Consider the following 15,659-nt stretch of genomic DNA (forward strand, 5'->3'; position numbering starts at 1 on the left):
ACCTGACCTTCATGCAGTCAGAAGCTTTGGATGATTCCCCATCCAAAATATTAGAGATGAAATGAAAGCAAAGTAGGCATCTGACAAAAGTTGCTTTTTCCCTTCTGCATTTTAGGACCTCAAGTAATGTTTATCCAGAAACTGCTATCATACCAGGGATTCATTGTGTATTTAACAACATAGGCATACAATCTGGCAAATTTGAAAAACTCTTAACATACACCCCAAATCCCTGCCCAAATTTAAGAACTAGGGTGGACACAGTGCGTTTTTCCATGTCGCATCTTCTGTGATGGGGCTACGATACGTGGGAGCAGAGAATGGGGAGGGTGGAGCGCATGCCAGATGAGGATCTATCAGCAATGGGACGGGGCCTCCACTTTAGCATCTCCACCCTGCTCCTCTCAGAGGACCGCCTTTCATTGCATTCAGCTGTGATGGTAGCACGAACACAGGTGCACCGAGGACGAGGAGAGCAGGAGCCTTGTGCTCTCTCTGCATCTGAGGCAGGACAGCACAGGGTACGGAGCAGTCTGCAGAGAGGCCAGCTCATCAGGGAAGCACTTGTCTTCCACCTTGGGCTTTGACTGAGCACTGGGCAATTGGCCTCTGGGGATCAACGAAATAATCCTAAACAGAGTTACTCTATGTCACACTATGGAATGTTCCAAGTAGGTGGCCGTGTTTTCAAAAGATGTATTTTCTCCTTTTGTTGTTGCCATTTCATAGGTTTAGGATTGGGTGTGTGTTTCTCCTCTCTGAATGGCACTCGAATGTTTGCTGACTCCTACTCTGTGTGACTGGGGTGTACAGCTATGGACTGATGCATCCCATCCCATCATCTTTCATGATCAAAGCAGTCTCTTCTTTTTTGACAGCTGAAGAAGCATCGGTAGGGAATCCAGAAGGAGCGTTCATGAAGGTGTTACAAGCCCGGAAGAACTACACAAGCACTGAGCTGATTGTTGAGCCAGAGGAGCCCTCAGACAGCAGTGGCATCAACTTGTCAGGCTTTGGGAGTGAGCAGCTAGACACCAATGACGAGAGTGATTTTATCAGTACACTAAGTTACATCTTGCCTTATTTCTCAGCGGTAAACCTAGATGTGAAATCACTGTTACTACCGTTCATTAAACTGCCAACCACAGGAAACAGCCTGGCAAAGATTCAAACTGTAGGCCAAAACCGGCAGAGAGTGAAGAGAGTCCTCATGGGCCCAAGGAGCATCCAGAAAAGGCACTTCAAAGAGGTAGGAAGGCAGAGCATCAGGAGGGAACAGGGTGCCCAGGCATCTGTGGAGAACGCTGCCGAAGAAAAAAGGCTCGGGAGTCCAGCCCCAAGGGAGGTGGAACAGCCCCACACACAGCAGGGGCCTGAGAAGTTAGCGGGAAACGCCGTCTACACCAAGCCTTCCTTCACCCAAGAGCATAAGGCAGCAGTCTCTGTGCTGAAACCCTTCTCCAAGGGCGCGCCTTCTACCTCCAGCCCTGCAAAAGCCCTACCACAGGTGAGAGACAGATGGAAAGACTTAACCCACGCTATTTCCATTTTAGAAAGTGCAAAGGCTAGAGTTACAAATACGAAGACGTCTAAACCAATCGTACATGCCAGAAAAAAATACCGCTTTCACAAAACTCGCTCCCACGTGACCCACAGAACACCCAAAGTCAAAAAGAGTCCAAAGGTCAGAAAGAAAAGTTATCTGAGTAGACTGATGCTCGCAAACAGGCTTCCATTCTCTGCAGCGAAGAGCCTCATAAATTCCCCTTCACAAGGGGCTTTTTCATCCTTAGGAGACCTGAGTCCTCAAGAAAACCCTTTTCTGGAAGTATCTGCTCCTTCAGAACATTTTATAGAAAACAATAATACAAAACACACAACTGCAAGAAATGCCTTTGAAGAAAATGATTTTATGGAAAACACTAACATGCCAGAAGGAACCATCTCTGAAAACACAAACTACAATCATCCTCATGAGGCAGATTCCGCTGGGACTGCATTCAACTTAGGGCCAACTGTTAAACAAACTGAGACAAAATGGGAATACAACAACGTGGGCACTGACCTGTCCCCCGAGCCCAAAAGCTTCAATTACCCATTGCTCTCGTCCCCAGGTGATCAGTTTGAAATTCAGCTAACCCAGCAGCTACAGTCCCTTATCCCCAACAACAATGTGAGAAGGCTCATTGCTCATGTTATCCGGACCTTGAAGATGGACTGCTCTGGGGCCCATGTGCAAGTGACCTGTGCCAAGCTCATCTCCAGGACAGGCCACCTGATGAAGCTTCTCAGTGGGCAGCAGGAAGTAAAGGCATCCAAGATAGAATGGGATACGGACCAATGGAAGATTGAGAACTACATTAATGAGAGCACAGAAGCCCAGAGTGAACAGAAAGAGAAGTCGCTTGAGGTGAGGACCACACAGAAACATGAGACCCAGATTTCCCATCATTTAGCATATCCCAGGAAAGTGCCCACACAGAAGAGTCTGGGACTCCCAGGCCATAGCTTATCTTGGCCATGTAACTTTGGTCATGACAGTGATCTCCCACTTTGCTCATGTAGAGAGAGAAATAGATTAGGGCACAAGATGAACTGTAGGCCGGGGGTGGTAGCTCACGCCTGTAATCTCAGCACTTTGGGAGGCGAAGGTGGGTGGATTACTTGAAGTCAGGAGTTTGAGACCAGCTTGGCCAACATAGTGAAAGCCTGTCTCCACAAAAAATAAGAAAATTAGCTGGGTTGATGACACGTGCCTGTAGTCCCAGCTACTTGGAAGGCTGAGGTGGGAGGATCACCTGAGCCCAGGGAGGTCGAGTCTAGTGAACGGTGATTGCACCACGGTACCCAAGCCTGGGTGACAGAGTGAGACCCTCTTTCAAAAAAATAAAAAAGAACCTGTCAGCTACTCACCTGGAATACTGGGGTTTTGAATAGTTAGCTCTCATTCTGGTTTTTTTTTTGTGTGTTTTTTTTTTTAGCTCAAAAAAGAAGTTCCAGGATATGGCTATACTGACAAACTCATCTTGGCATTAATTGTTACTGGAATACTAACGATTTTGATTATACTTTTCTGCCTCATTGTGGTAAGGACAATAATTAATTCAGGTTTTCAGAATGCAGTCCTGTCTTTGTGTGGATTCAGAGCTCACAAACTGAAAACCAAAGCCACTTTCCCACCTGCTGCTACTTGACATACTTCTTCAGTCATTTAAGGCTGAGGTGTATGCTTTGTTCTTTTACTGCAGTGTATATTTCAGGATTTTTAAAGGATCCTCGCTTTCAGATCTCTGTGAATTGAAACCATGTGAATCCCACTAGACTATTTTAAGAAGTCGAAAATTTCTCCCACCCAAAACTATGTCAACAATTGGATGTACTCATCAAGTCACCCTTACTCTGCCACTAATTTATTTCCTTGTTGCTGAAATGATGAGAGAGGTATAATCTCCACCCTCACGGAGTTGTCATCACCCTGGAGAGGAAGGAGAGAGCCAAAAGACATACGTATTGTCTTGTAGACTTATTAGATTTACACAGTATCGTCCTCCAGTGTGTAAGGCATTGTCTAAATAGGTCCAGTTAAAGCACTACAGAGTAGCCATCTTTTACAAAAATTTTTGGCCACATTTTTAAGTTCACTGGTGAGGGGGAACGTCTCATACTCTAGCCCTCCTGAGCCTAGACCCTCTGTGAGATGTGTCACCATTTCTTGGACACCATGTGAGACATTCCCCCTCAGATTAGAGATGCTCAGCTTGCATCAACTTACCTAAAGCCTACATCTGGCTACTCTGGGACAAGTCCTGTTTACAGTGCCCATTCCTGGAGCTTGCCTCTGTCTTTTGTTCGATTACATGATGTATTACTTTTCCCAACAGGCCAGTGCTAGCATATTGGAAGAGTGATTTAATAAAGCTGGCAACCTTGACGCTATGCCACCAGTCCAACCTTACTTGCCTCATTTACCATTTCCATTATTGTGGCAGCCCTCCATTCCAGCCACAGCAGCCCCTCACCAAACCCCAGTCACACCACCCACATTTCTGCTTTTGTCTGTGTGTTTGTCCATCTAAAATGCCCTTATTTCACTCTGCCTGTGGGAGTCCTATGCATCTCTCAAAAGCCAACTCAAGTTCATCTTTCTTCTTGACACCTTCCCTGAATATTCCAGCCCTGCTGAGCCTAGTCCCTTTGTGAGATTTGTCACCATTTCTTGGACACCATATGAGAGACTTCAGAGGCTGAAGTGGGAGGATCGCTTGAGCCTGGGAGGTCGAGGATGCAGTGAGCTGTGGTCGTACCACTGCACTCTAGCCTGGGCAACACAGCTAGGCCCTGTCTTAAAAACAGCCACCACCAAAAACTATCTTGGGATTTGAATAGGATTACGTTAAATTTGTAGATTAATTTGAGAATTTACATCTGTACGACATTCTAGGAACGTGCTATCTCATGTCATGTATTCATTTCTTGTTAATGTCTTTCAGAAGAGCTTTAGTGTTTCCATATATAGATCTTATACATCTTTTGTTAGATAAAAGATCTTTGTATTTTTGTTCCTAAATTCTTCATACATTTGTATTGCCATTGTAAATGGGATCTTTCTTCCATTTTCTAATTAGTTATTGGTGGTACATGGGAAAAGTATTTGAGGTTTGTGTGCTGATTTCTTGATTTTGTAGATAGCCACTGTATTGAATTCTCATTACTTCCAGTAAAATCTTAGTTGATTCTCTTAGGCTTCTTTGGCTAACATTTATCATTTAATATGCAAATAATGATAGTTTTGTCTCTTCCTTTCCAATACTTCTACTCTTTCCTTCCTTTCCCTTTTCCTTTTTCCTTTCCTTTCCTTTCCTTTTTTTTCCCTTCTCAGGGCCTTGTTGTCACCCAGGCTGGAGAGCAATGGTGTGACCTAGCTCACTGTAACATCAAACTCCTGGGCTTAAGGGATCCTCCTGCCTCAGCTTCCTGAGTGGCTGGGACTACAGGCAGGCAGCTAATTTAAAAAATGTGTTCGTAGAGACAAGGTCTTGCTATGTTGCCCAGGCTGGTTTTCCTGCCACTTCAGAGGAAGGACTCAGGTTTCCTTTTTCTCCTACTTTTAAGAGTTTTTATTAGGAATTATCTGTTGAATGTTATCTAAAACAGTCAATAAAATGTATTAAGTGCCAGCTGCATGCAAGACCCTAAGTTAGATACAGTCAGCCCTCTTCATCAGCAGGTCCACATCTTCAGATTCAACTAGATCAGGCTGAATATTTGAAGAAAAAAAAAACCAATAAAAATACAAACAGAAAGTACAATATAACAACTGTCAACAATGTACAATATGTATACATTTTATTAGTGATGACTTAAATTACATGGGGCCAGGCATGGTGGCTCACACTTGTAATCCCAACACATTGGGAGGCCAACCTGGGCAGCATAGTGAGACCTTGTCTTTATTAAAAATTAAAAAAAAAAATAGCCAGGTGTGGTAGTATGCACCTGTAGTCTCAGCTACTCAAGAGGCTGAGGTGGGCGGATCACTGGAGCCCAGGAGGTTGAGGCTACAGTGAGCTGTGATCGTGACACCGCACTCCATCCTGAGTAACAGAGGATGACACTGCACTCCAGCGTAAGCAACAGAGGGCAATCCTGTCGCTAAGTAAATAAAGTATAGGGGGGATGCGTGTTGGTTATAAGCAAATATTACACCATTATATGTAAGGGATTGAGCATCCACAGATTCTGGTATGGTGTGGGGGCGGTATCCTAGAACCAATCCCCCGCAAGATAGCAAGGATGACTGAACTATGGAAGAATCAAAGCAGTGTTACACAGCATACAATTCCTGTCTTCAAAAAAGTTACCTCATCAGGTAGATGAGACTTATAATGAATAAAAGGAATCAATACAGATTTGGAGACGGTGGTTGTTGTCATAGATAATCTTAATTGCGTTTTCTTCTAAAACAGATATGTTGTCACCGAAGGTCATTACAAGAAGATGAAGAAGGATTCTCAAGGTAAATATTAGTCTGGTGATTTTTTTTTTCTTCTCTTTTGAGACGGAGTTTCCCTCTTGTTGCCAGGCTGGAGTGCAATGACACGATCTCGGCTCACGGCAACCTCCACTTCCCAGGTTCAAGCGATTCTCCTGCCTCAGCCTCCCGAGTAGCTGGGATTACAGGCATGCACCACTAGTCTCGCGACGTTTTAATTAGAATTTTAGAATTAGAGGAGGGCTTAGAACTCTGCCCTCATTTTTCAGTGAGGAAACTGCCCAAGACAGGACAAATACTTACCCTAATGCTTAGCCTGGCTCCAGTGAAATTAGCTCCCCAGCCAAAGCTGAGCTGGATGGAACTAACAAGGACACACCTGCTGTCCCCAGCCCTTTCGGGAGGTGGGGAGGGATAGGAAGGAGAAAGGTTTTGGTGCCTATTGCTGCTGATGGTGGGCATCAGGCCAGGCCAGGGGCCTTCTTGGAGGCTCTGGGAAAGGGGAAGGGAAGGCCACCGGGTGTGAGAGAGAGGGCACTTGTCTCCTTCAAGGCTGATGGAAGGTAGGATATGTGAGTCCTTCCTCTTAAGTGGCAGGAAACAGTATTTTCTCTTTTATTTCTTTTTTTTTTCCCCTGGATCCTAGAACTGAGGAAACACTATTTTCTCATCTTACTGGTTTTTGGGCCCCTACTCTATTCCTTTTATGCAAACCTCACAGAATTTTAACCAGAAAGGCCAGGCAGGATGGCTCACGCCTGTAATCACAGCACTTTGGGATCACTTGAGGTTAGGAGCTCGTGACCAGCCTGACCAACATGGTGAAACCCCATCTCTACTAAAAATACTAAATTAGCTGGGTGTGGTGGCGCAGGCGTGTAATCCCAGCTACTTGGGAGGCTGAGGCAGGAGAACTGCTTGAGCCCAGGAGGCGCAGGTTGCAGGGAGCCAAGATAGCACCATTGCACTCCAGCCTGGGGAATGAGCCAAACTGTCTCAAATAAAAAAAAAACAACAAAAAAGAATTTTAACTACGGAGACCTTAGATAGTAGTTTGTCCTTTTATGACAGGAAAACTGAGAAGGAGAAAGGGAGAGTGTCTTACTTACCCCATGGTCACACAATGCACTCTGCCTTTTCCTATTTTATTCAAATTCAAAAATAACATGTTGTGCTTTAAGCTGATTTCGTAGCTCACTCACTCATCAGCGACAGCCAGCCATATGAAGACTGTGAGATAGAGAACTTGGCTAGCTGCACTCACGCATTTGCTTGAGGTGATCCAACTTATAGAATAAAGTATCTAGAAAACGAAGAACCACTTCATCTCCCATCCCCCATCAAATGATGCCTGTGAGACTAAGTCCGAAGGGGACTGATATAAAATGCTTCTGCCCAGCATGGTTGTGCAGTTTGTTCACTGCACAAGGGCACTTGGCCAAGGGAGTGAGTGGGACTGAAAATCCTGCCCCTGCTCCATGCTGAGCCACATACAAAGTCCCCCCAGTATATTGTGGGGCCCTTCTGGGCAGACATGGAGAGCTTCTGAAAGTCCCACATGCATGGAATTATTTTCAAGACCCCGGGTATGTGGTCTGTGGTGGTGGTTCTCCCTGTGATTATGGACTGAGATACTCATTTAGTCCTAATAAGACCAGAGAAGTACATTGTGAGATACGTGGGAAACGGCTGCATCACTCACTGTCTTGTGCATGTGTCTCCCCAGGGGCATTTTCAGATTTCTGCCATGGAGGGGATGCTCTTCGCGAAGGGAGAGTCAGGTACATTGGAGGATTCATTGCTGTGGCCAGGGAAAGCAGAGGACATGCAAAATTAATATTTCCCTTTCTATCTTCTAGGATGGACTTTCCTCATTTGGACAGCCGCTCTGGTTTAAAGATATGTACAAACCTCTCAGTGCCACAAGAATAAATAATCATGCATGGAAGCTGCACAAGAAGTCATCTAATGAGGACAAGATCCTCAACAGGGACCCTGGGTAAATGATGGGGCCCTCACAGTTCCCATCTAAAATGAGGAGGGGGTGAGAAGCTTAATTGCTCCTTTCAAGAATGAAAACCTTGGCATTGTTATTCTTATCCCAGGGACAGCGAAGCCCCAACGGAGGAGGAGGAGAGTGAAGCCCTGCCATAGGAGGAGAACACAGCCCACCTCAGGCCTCCTGCAAAAATACATAGAATAAACAACAACAGTTACTAAATGAATGAAAATTGTGATTCCGATGAAGCCTGCCAGAGAAACAAAGCATTTTTTAAAAGAGGAAATAAGGTGATATCTGATTAGGGCAAACATGATGCAGACAAGAAATGCACCGGTTCAGAGGAGGGAAGGTCAGGCCGCCTGGGGAGAGTCCATGAAAAAGATGGAACGTGCCAGATGCTGTACCTGGTGCTGGGAAAGAGTTGACTAGGCCAGCATCCCTTTCCTCAAAGGGGGGGCTCCTAGACTGGGGGGAGGGCTGGACATCTGAATACATCCTGAGGAGACAGTGTGGGACAGCATGGTGGCAGTGGAACCAGCCGTGGTTCTGCTCTTGGTCGGCTGGAAAGGAGTAGATGTAAGGGATGGTTTAGAAGAAGGGAAGTGGAAGAAAAGTTTTCTGAGCTGACAAGAGGAAGGAAAGGCCGCCTAGAAGGACACTAAAAAGGCAAGAGAAGCCCTAAGCAGAGTGAGCACCAGACTCCACAGGTTAAGGGCTCAGTCACACAGGACCATCCGCATGTCAGACCCCAGGTGCAAGGCCAAGCATCACCTATGCATCTGACCAACTGGCTGTAAATTGGAGGTCCCCACAACTCCCTCCTCAGGTTTGAACATTTGCTAGAACAGCTCATGGAACCCAGGAAAACAGTTTTCTTACTAGTGCTGATTTATTACAAAGGATATTTTAAAGGACACAAATGATGAAGCCAGTTGAAGAGATACACAGGGTGAGGTTTGGAAGGGTCCTTGTGGAGTTGGGGTGCACCACTCTCCTGGAACATGGATGTGTTCGCCAACCCGGAAGCTCTCCAAGTCCTGTCTTTTAAGGAGTTTTCTGGAGGCTTTATCACGTAGGCATGATTGAGCTCCAGCTCTACTCCCCACGCCAGAGGATGGGGAATGGGGCTGACAGCACAACGCTTCCAACCATAGGTCTTTTTGGTGACCAGTCCCCAAATAAGGAGCCCACCAAGAGTCACCTCATGAGAACAAAGGACGCTTCTATCACCCAGAAAATTCCAAGGGATTTAGGAGCTCTGTGTCAGGAACCAGGTTTAAGGACCAAATGTTAGAACAAAAGATGTGCAACCATAAAAAACAGCGAGATCATGTCTTTTGCAGGAACACAGATGGAGCTAGAGGCCATTATCCTCAGCAAACTAAGACAGGAACAGAAAACCAAATACTGTATGTTCTTTTAAGTGGGAGCAAAATGATGAGAACTCATAAACAACAGACACTGGGCCCTACCTGAGGGTGGAGGGTGGGAGGAGGGAGAGGAGCAGAAAAAACTATTGGGTACTAGGCTTGGTACCTGGGTGATGAAATAATCTGTACAACAAACCCCCATGACACAAGTTTAGCTATATAACGAACGTGCATATGTACCCCCTAACCTAAAAGAAAAGTTTAAAAAGGAAAAAACACCTAGGAGAAAAGAAAAATGATAAATTAACAAAGGACAATGCTCTTAGCACCGCCATCATTCAGGAATTTCCAAGGGTTTTAGGAGCTTTGTGTTAGGAACTGGGGGCAGAGACCAAATATATATTTCTTCTTATGTTACACTACCCCAGATAGGAAAACAGAAATTACTCTAGATATTTCAAACAAAAAAGGGTTGTATATAGGCAATTAGTGCTTATCACTGGAGGTGCTAGAGGTGGTGAAGGTTGTGGGGATGGGGTTGCACCACTGGCTTTCAGGCTACTTTACCACAGCTGATTTCCAGAGGATGGAAGAAGTCAGGAAACTTGGGAAACCGCTGCTGAGGTCCTTGCAGCCCCACGGTCCCCAGGCTGGTGACTGGTGGGGGAGTATGGAGTCCAGCTGACCACCAGAGCCTGCACACCTGCTGCTATGGGGGAGGAAAGGATGACTTCTACCTCCTTTCCACATTCCAAATTCCACGTGACTACATTTTATTGGCAGCACCCCGCTGGCAAGTGAGCCTTGATGTGTGCTTCCTGGGCTTCTGGCACCTGCACAGAAAGGGGTGAAATGAGTGTCACGAGCAGCCACCACTCTGCATCACACCTCCACATCCAGGTGTGCTGGAGAGCCCCACTTACACTTGGAGTGTCCTGGTGCCCTACCCACTTTTGGTAGGTGTTTGGGTGTCTGAGGCTTTGCAAAAGAAGAAGGTGGGGAGTCTATGGTGGAGTCACATGGTGGAGACCTAGCTAAGTCAGAGGCCTGGAGAGGTGTCACTGGCTGGGCAGCAGGTAACACACAATCATCCTGAGCTGATTGGAGAAACACCTGGGATTGATTCAGAGTTTTTTCTGGAATGTTTTCACTGGAATGAAAGCTGAGCGGTCTGCAGGCCATATAGTATTGGAGAAAACTTAGCCCTCATTGAAAAAGGCTGCCAGAGAAAAGATATCCACAGGGAAATTCAGGAGTTTTGTTTGTTTTTTTTTCTTTTAAGGTGGAGTTTTGCTCTTGTTGCTCAGTCTGGAATGCAATGGCACGATCTCAGCTCACTGCATCCTCCGCCTCCTGGGTTCAAGCAAGTCTCCTGCCTCAGCCTCCCTAGTAGCTGGGGTTACAGGCATGCACCACCATGCCCGGCTAATTTTTGTATTTTTAGTAGAGATGGGGTTTCACCATGTTGGTCAGGCTGGTCTCGAACTCCTGACCTCAGGTAATCCACCCGCCCTGGCCTCCCAAAGGGCTGAGATTACAGGTGCGAGCTACCGCGCCTGGCTTGTTTTGGGTTTTGGGGTTTTTTTTGTGTTTTGTTTGTTTGTTTGTTTTTGGAGACAGTCTCTGTCACCCAGGCTGGAGTGCAGCAGCGTGATCTCGGTTGACTGCAACCTCTGCCTTCCAGGTTCAAGTGATTCTCCTGCCTCAGCCTCCCGAATAGCTGGGATTACAGGCACCCACCACCATGCCCGGCCAATTTTTTTTTTTTTTTTTTTTCTAAAAACAGTTTCACCATGTTGGCCAGGCTAGTCTTGAACTCCTGACCTCAAGTGATCCGCTCACCTTGGCCTCCCAAAGTGCTGGGATTACAGGCATGAGTCACTGTGCCCCGCCAGGAAATTCAGTTTCTGAAAATACACCTGTGGATCTCTAGCCTTGAACACCCTTGGATGCTGCTTTAAATGACTGATCCTCGATGCCTCCCTTCTAACTCACACTCCCCTATATCAATCTCCCAGAAAAAGGGACCTCTTTTATTCTTTTTTTTTTTTTTTTTTTTTTTTCAGAGACGGGCCTCACTTTGTTGCCCAGGCTGGTTTTGAACTCCTGGCCTCAAGTGATCCTCCCGCCTTGGTCTCTCAACGTACTGGGATTACAGGTGGGAGTCCCCGCGCCCGGCAAAGCCTATATTAAACCCTTTTATGCACACTCGGCGGTACTGCAGAGAGGGCAGGGAGGAAGCAGAGGTGCCCTGGCATCTTCAGCTGGAGGTGAGCAGGGCGCTGAGGGTGGGAGAGGCCCGGCGCCTGGGGATGGGAGGCAGGACTGCACCTTCACAGGGACGCTTCCACCCTACCCCGGAGGTCAGGGCCTCTCGCCCAGCTCTGGCTCTGAGGTCCTGGAGGGAGGGAGATGCTGTTGCGACTCAGAAGATTGGGGGAGGGCCACCCCCATTCGAGAAGAGTGAAAATCCTGAGCCTGAAGAAGTGGAACCGGTTGGAGCCGAGGCTTTAGAGGATGGCGTTCGAAAGAGGGTCTGGCGCCGCCCTGTGGACCGTTCGGGCTCGCAGGGCCGAAGGCTCCGAAGACTGAGACCTGTGAACCATGGGGAGGCTCCATGCGGATGGGGGCCACAGCCCCCGCCGGAGCCCCCACACTAGCCCTGGACTTCTCCACTGGCTTACGACATGAGAGCTCAATATGCTCCTTATTTAACGCACTGTTGTATCAGGTCCCTGTGGGAGCCACTGGCTCTATAGCCTAATAAAGGAGCGGGTGCACGCACTGGATTGGTGAGCTACCGCCACTGCAACGCGTCCTAATCAACCATCCTAAACGGCGGCTGGAACAAGGTTCTCGCAGGCCTGTGCTTGGGCTTGAACGCTGGTCCAGCCGCTGCGCTCTGTGGCTCCCTGTAGGCCTGCGGATCGGCCAGGGGGCTCCGTTCCTTTTGGGCGGAGGCTGAAGAAGCAGCGGCTGCACCAGAGAAGGCCCTCTGGGTGAAGGTGGGAGCGCACGGGGCCCGCGGAACCACCTAAGGCGACTTCAGACGTGGGCTCGGAACTGGCAGCCTTTCGTTTCTGCTTCATTCCAAGGCCAGAGCAAGCCACGTGGGCAAACCCAAAGCCAGGGGACAGGAAAGTATCCTCCACCCACAACGAAACCATGGCAAGCGGTGGATGCAGGTACGGCCAATAGTCTATCTATCCCGGTGAGTGAGGAGACCTGCTTTGAGGGTTGCACAACCTGGATCTGCTTTTACAGTGGTGTCTGTCACTATGAAGACTCCACCATGGGTCGCCATCAGGTCAGGGACCCTGACAAGGCAAGAACTGCATCTTCCTCTGCACACAGCTCTGCTCCCTTCCCCGCCATGCCTAACACCAAGCCTAGCCCTGAGGGATGACTCAGGAATATTACTGAGAGCATTTTAGGCCATTCCTTCATTATCCCCATGTGACTTGTTATGAAATATAGACTGACTTCCTGAAGATCAGCACATAGTGCTAAGTATTTGGCTTGTAATCTGTAGAGACTCTGCCATTTGGAGCTGGGATCTGTCCCCAGAGCTGTCAGACACCAAATCCCGTATCTACTGCCACCCAAAGGGACCTCCAGAAGAAAGGGGTTATACAGGGTCAAACACCAAGGCAGGTTAGTGAAATTTCTCTAGAGGCCATTTAAAGCTGGAGTCTCACCACCTGAACTGCCCTCAGAGGAAGGCTGTCTAGGGCACAAACCTAGTCAGGGGTCCACATGGACTTAAGGACAATTTTTTTTTTTTTTTTTTTTTGAGACAGTCTCATTCTGTCATCAAGGCTCGAGTGCAGTGGTGTGAACTCAGCTCACTGCAAGTCTCAACCTCCTGGGCTCAGGTGATCCTCCCACCTCAGCCTCCCGAGTAGCGGGAACCACAGGCTCGTGCCATGATGCCCAATTAATTTTCTTTTAAATTTTTTGTAGAGATGAGGTCTCCCCGTGTTGCTCAGTCTAATCTTGAACTCCTGGACTCAAATGATCCTCCTGCCTCTGCTCCTCAAAGTCCTGGGACTACAGGTGTGAGCCAATGCACCTGGCCTCTTATGAATAATTTTAAAAACAATGAGGTTCACCGTCAGAGCCCCTGCTGCTCTACCAAGTCCCTTGGCCCCTCTCAACAGGGCAAAAGCAAGATGAGCCCCAGATGTTCTGCTTAATGACCACCTTTCCCAGGAGACTTTGCTCTTTAAAGGAGAACCACTTAGAGATATGAGCAACCTTAAAGAATGCCACCAGCACTAGTGAATGCCAGGCACGGGCCACGTGGGTGGAGAGTATACTTTAGGGCAGTCACTCATGGTAAATTATTTCCACCAGCCCCCAGAAGTGACTATTCAATGTCCAACTATGTCAGGCCCAGGCTAATAAAAGTAGAGGCATGAGGAACCTAGGGTTGTTCTGAAGTGCCTTGATTATGGTACATGTGGAAGATTTTAGAGCTTGTTGTAAAAAGTGATGACCCATGGCCCCCCAGGCTGGGTCTGGGATTCCCTTTGTGGATTACAAGAGGATATTATACAGCAGTTTTTAAAAATGAGGCAGACTGGGACAATCTATCTCCAAGATGCATAGGTGCTGTTAAGGGAACAAAGCAAGATTTAGTAGGGCGTGTATAGTATGCTACTGTGCGCTGTGCGTTATCTGTACAGAACTGTGAGGTCTGATACAGTAGCCACTAGCCACATATGGCTATTTACATATAAATTTAGGTTGGCCACAGTGGCTCATGCCTGTAATCCTAGCACTTTGGGAGGCCAAGTGGGAGGATAGCTTGAGGCCAATAGTTCAAGAACACCCTGGGCAACATAGTGAAGCCCCTTTTCTACAAAAAATTTATTTATTTATTTATTTTTATTTTTTTTGAGACGGGTCTCACTCTGTCACCCAGGCTGGAGTGCAGTGGCGCAGTCTCAGCTTATTACAACATCTGCCTCCTGGGTTCAAGCGATTATCGTGCCTCAGCCTCCAAGTAGCTGGGACTACAGGCACGCACCACCATACCCAGCAAATTTTTGTATTTTTGGTAGAGACAAGGTTTTGCCATGTTGGCCAGGCTGGTCTTGAACTCCTGACCTCAGGTGATCTGCCCGCCTCAGCCTCCCAAAGTGCTGAGATTACAGGCATGAGCCACTGCGCCCAGGCAAAAAATTTAAAATTGTAAAAATCAGCCAAACATGGTGGCATTCATCTGTAGTCCCAGCAACTTAGGAGGCTGAGGTGGGAGGATTTCTTGAGCCCAGGAGGTCAAGGTTGCAGTGACCTATGACTGCACCACTGCACTCCAGCCTGGACAACAGAGTGAGGCCCTGTCTCAAAAAATAAATAAATAGGAGTTTGAGGCCATGTTCACACATCACTGCAGTCCAGTCTGGTAAACAGAGCAAGACGCTGAGTCTTTAACAAAAAAAAAAAAAATTTTAAAGTCAGCTGCTAAGACACACTAGCCACATATCAAGTGCTCAACTGCCCCGTGTGGCTAATGGCTTCCAAACTGGCAGCACAGGCAACTGTTTTCATCACTGAAGTTCTGTTGGACAAGAATACCTCTGGAAGCACACACGAGAAACTGGTAATGGCGGTTGCCTTCCGGGAGGGAAACTGGGAGAGTGCAGGGCTGTATGCCCTTTTGTACCTCTTGAATTTCATATCATGCGTTTGTACTAGGTGTTTACAAATTATTTTAAAAACATACTGGGAATTAGGAATCCCCATATGGAATCACTGCAGTGGGACACTGATTCCCAAAAAATTACTTTGCAATTTGCCTAAAACAAATTAAGCTAATAGCTATCATGATTTCATATTTAATATTTTTTCACAGCTTAGAGTTTTTTTAGCTCCTGTTGCTATCTCTCTGCTCTTATGAGCTCACAGGGTGACAAAGTGAATTAGTAAGTAGCAGGAGAACATTAAAGGAAAAACTCCTGGGCAACAGGGCAAAACGCCGGCTCTACAGAAAATACAAAACATTAGCCAGGCATGGTGGCATGCACCTATGGTCTTAGCGACTTGGGAGGCTGAGGTGGGAGGATCGCTTGAGCCCGGAAGGCGGTAACTCAATCCCAGCAGAATCCCAGGGAGCGAAGGTGGCTCATCCCAAAAGAAAAACAAGAAGGAAATTCTATTACCAGAAGACAAAGGGATGAAATGAGGGATGGAGAATCAAAGACTGAAGCTACTAGGGTTTGTTTTTATTAATATTTAATTTTTTCAGAGGCGAGGGTCTCAGTATGTTGCCCAGGCTGGCCTTGAACTC

General features: G+C 47.1%; 2 protein-coding genes across 33 annotated transcripts in view; one reads left to right on the top strand and one right to left on the bottom strand.

Annotated features, from left to right (window-relative positions):
- Nucleotides 1–15,659, top strand: part of LRRC37A2 (leucine rich repeat containing 37 member A2) — a 676,337-nt gene that overhangs the window by 174,642 nt on the left and 486,036 nt on the right. For 9 of the 17 annotated variants that reach the window (XM_047436145.1, XM_047436143.1, XM_047436144.1 and 6 more), the window contains 6 exons: nucleotides 879–2,410; nucleotides 2,982–3,086; nucleotides 5,967–6,016; nucleotides 7,719–7,773; nucleotides 7,852–7,991; nucleotides 8,098–8,213. In XM_047436145.1, the coding sequence (XP_047292101.1) occupies nucleotides 879–2,410; nucleotides 2,982–3,086; nucleotides 5,967–6,016; nucleotides 7,719–7,773; nucleotides 7,852–7,991; nucleotides 8,098–8,146 (1,931 nt within the window). In that variant the 3' untranslated portion in view covers nucleotides 8,147–8,213. Of the gene's footprint in view, nucleotides 1–878; nucleotides 2,411–2,981; nucleotides 5,910–5,966; nucleotides 6,017–7,718; nucleotides 7,774–7,851; nucleotides 7,992–8,097; nucleotides 8,216–15,659 lie in introns of those variants that run through there. The other 8 variants (NM_001385803.1, XM_011524842.4, XM_047436141.1 and 5 more) reach the window with 8 other exon arrangements.
- Nucleotides 1–15,659, bottom strand: part of ARL17A (ARF like GTPase 17A) — a 79,433-nt gene that overhangs the window by 47,144 nt on the left and 16,630 nt on the right. For 7 of the 16 annotated variants that reach the window (XR_934479.3, XR_934475.4, XR_934478.4 and 4 more), the window contains exon 4: nucleotides 9,932–10,197. The exons of 5 other annotated variants lie outside the window; for them this stretch is intronic. Coding sequence is in view for 7 of the 11 variants with exons in the window: in XM_011524876.4 (XP_011523178.1) it covers nucleotides 9,932–10,197 (266 nt within the window). In the remaining 4 variants the exon portion in view is untranslated. Of the gene's footprint in view, nucleotides 1–90; nucleotides 1,028–5,322; nucleotides 10,198–15,659 lie in introns of those variants that run through there. 4 more of the 16 variants (NM_001411134.1, XM_047436214.1, NM_001330244.1 and 1 more) reach the window with 4 other exon arrangements.

Source organism: Homo sapiens, chromosome 17, assembly GCF_000001405.40.
Source record: "Homo sapiens chromosome 17, GRCh38.p14 Primary Assembly".
NCBI lineage: Eukaryota > Metazoa > Chordata > Mammalia > Primates > Hominidae > Homo > Homo sapiens.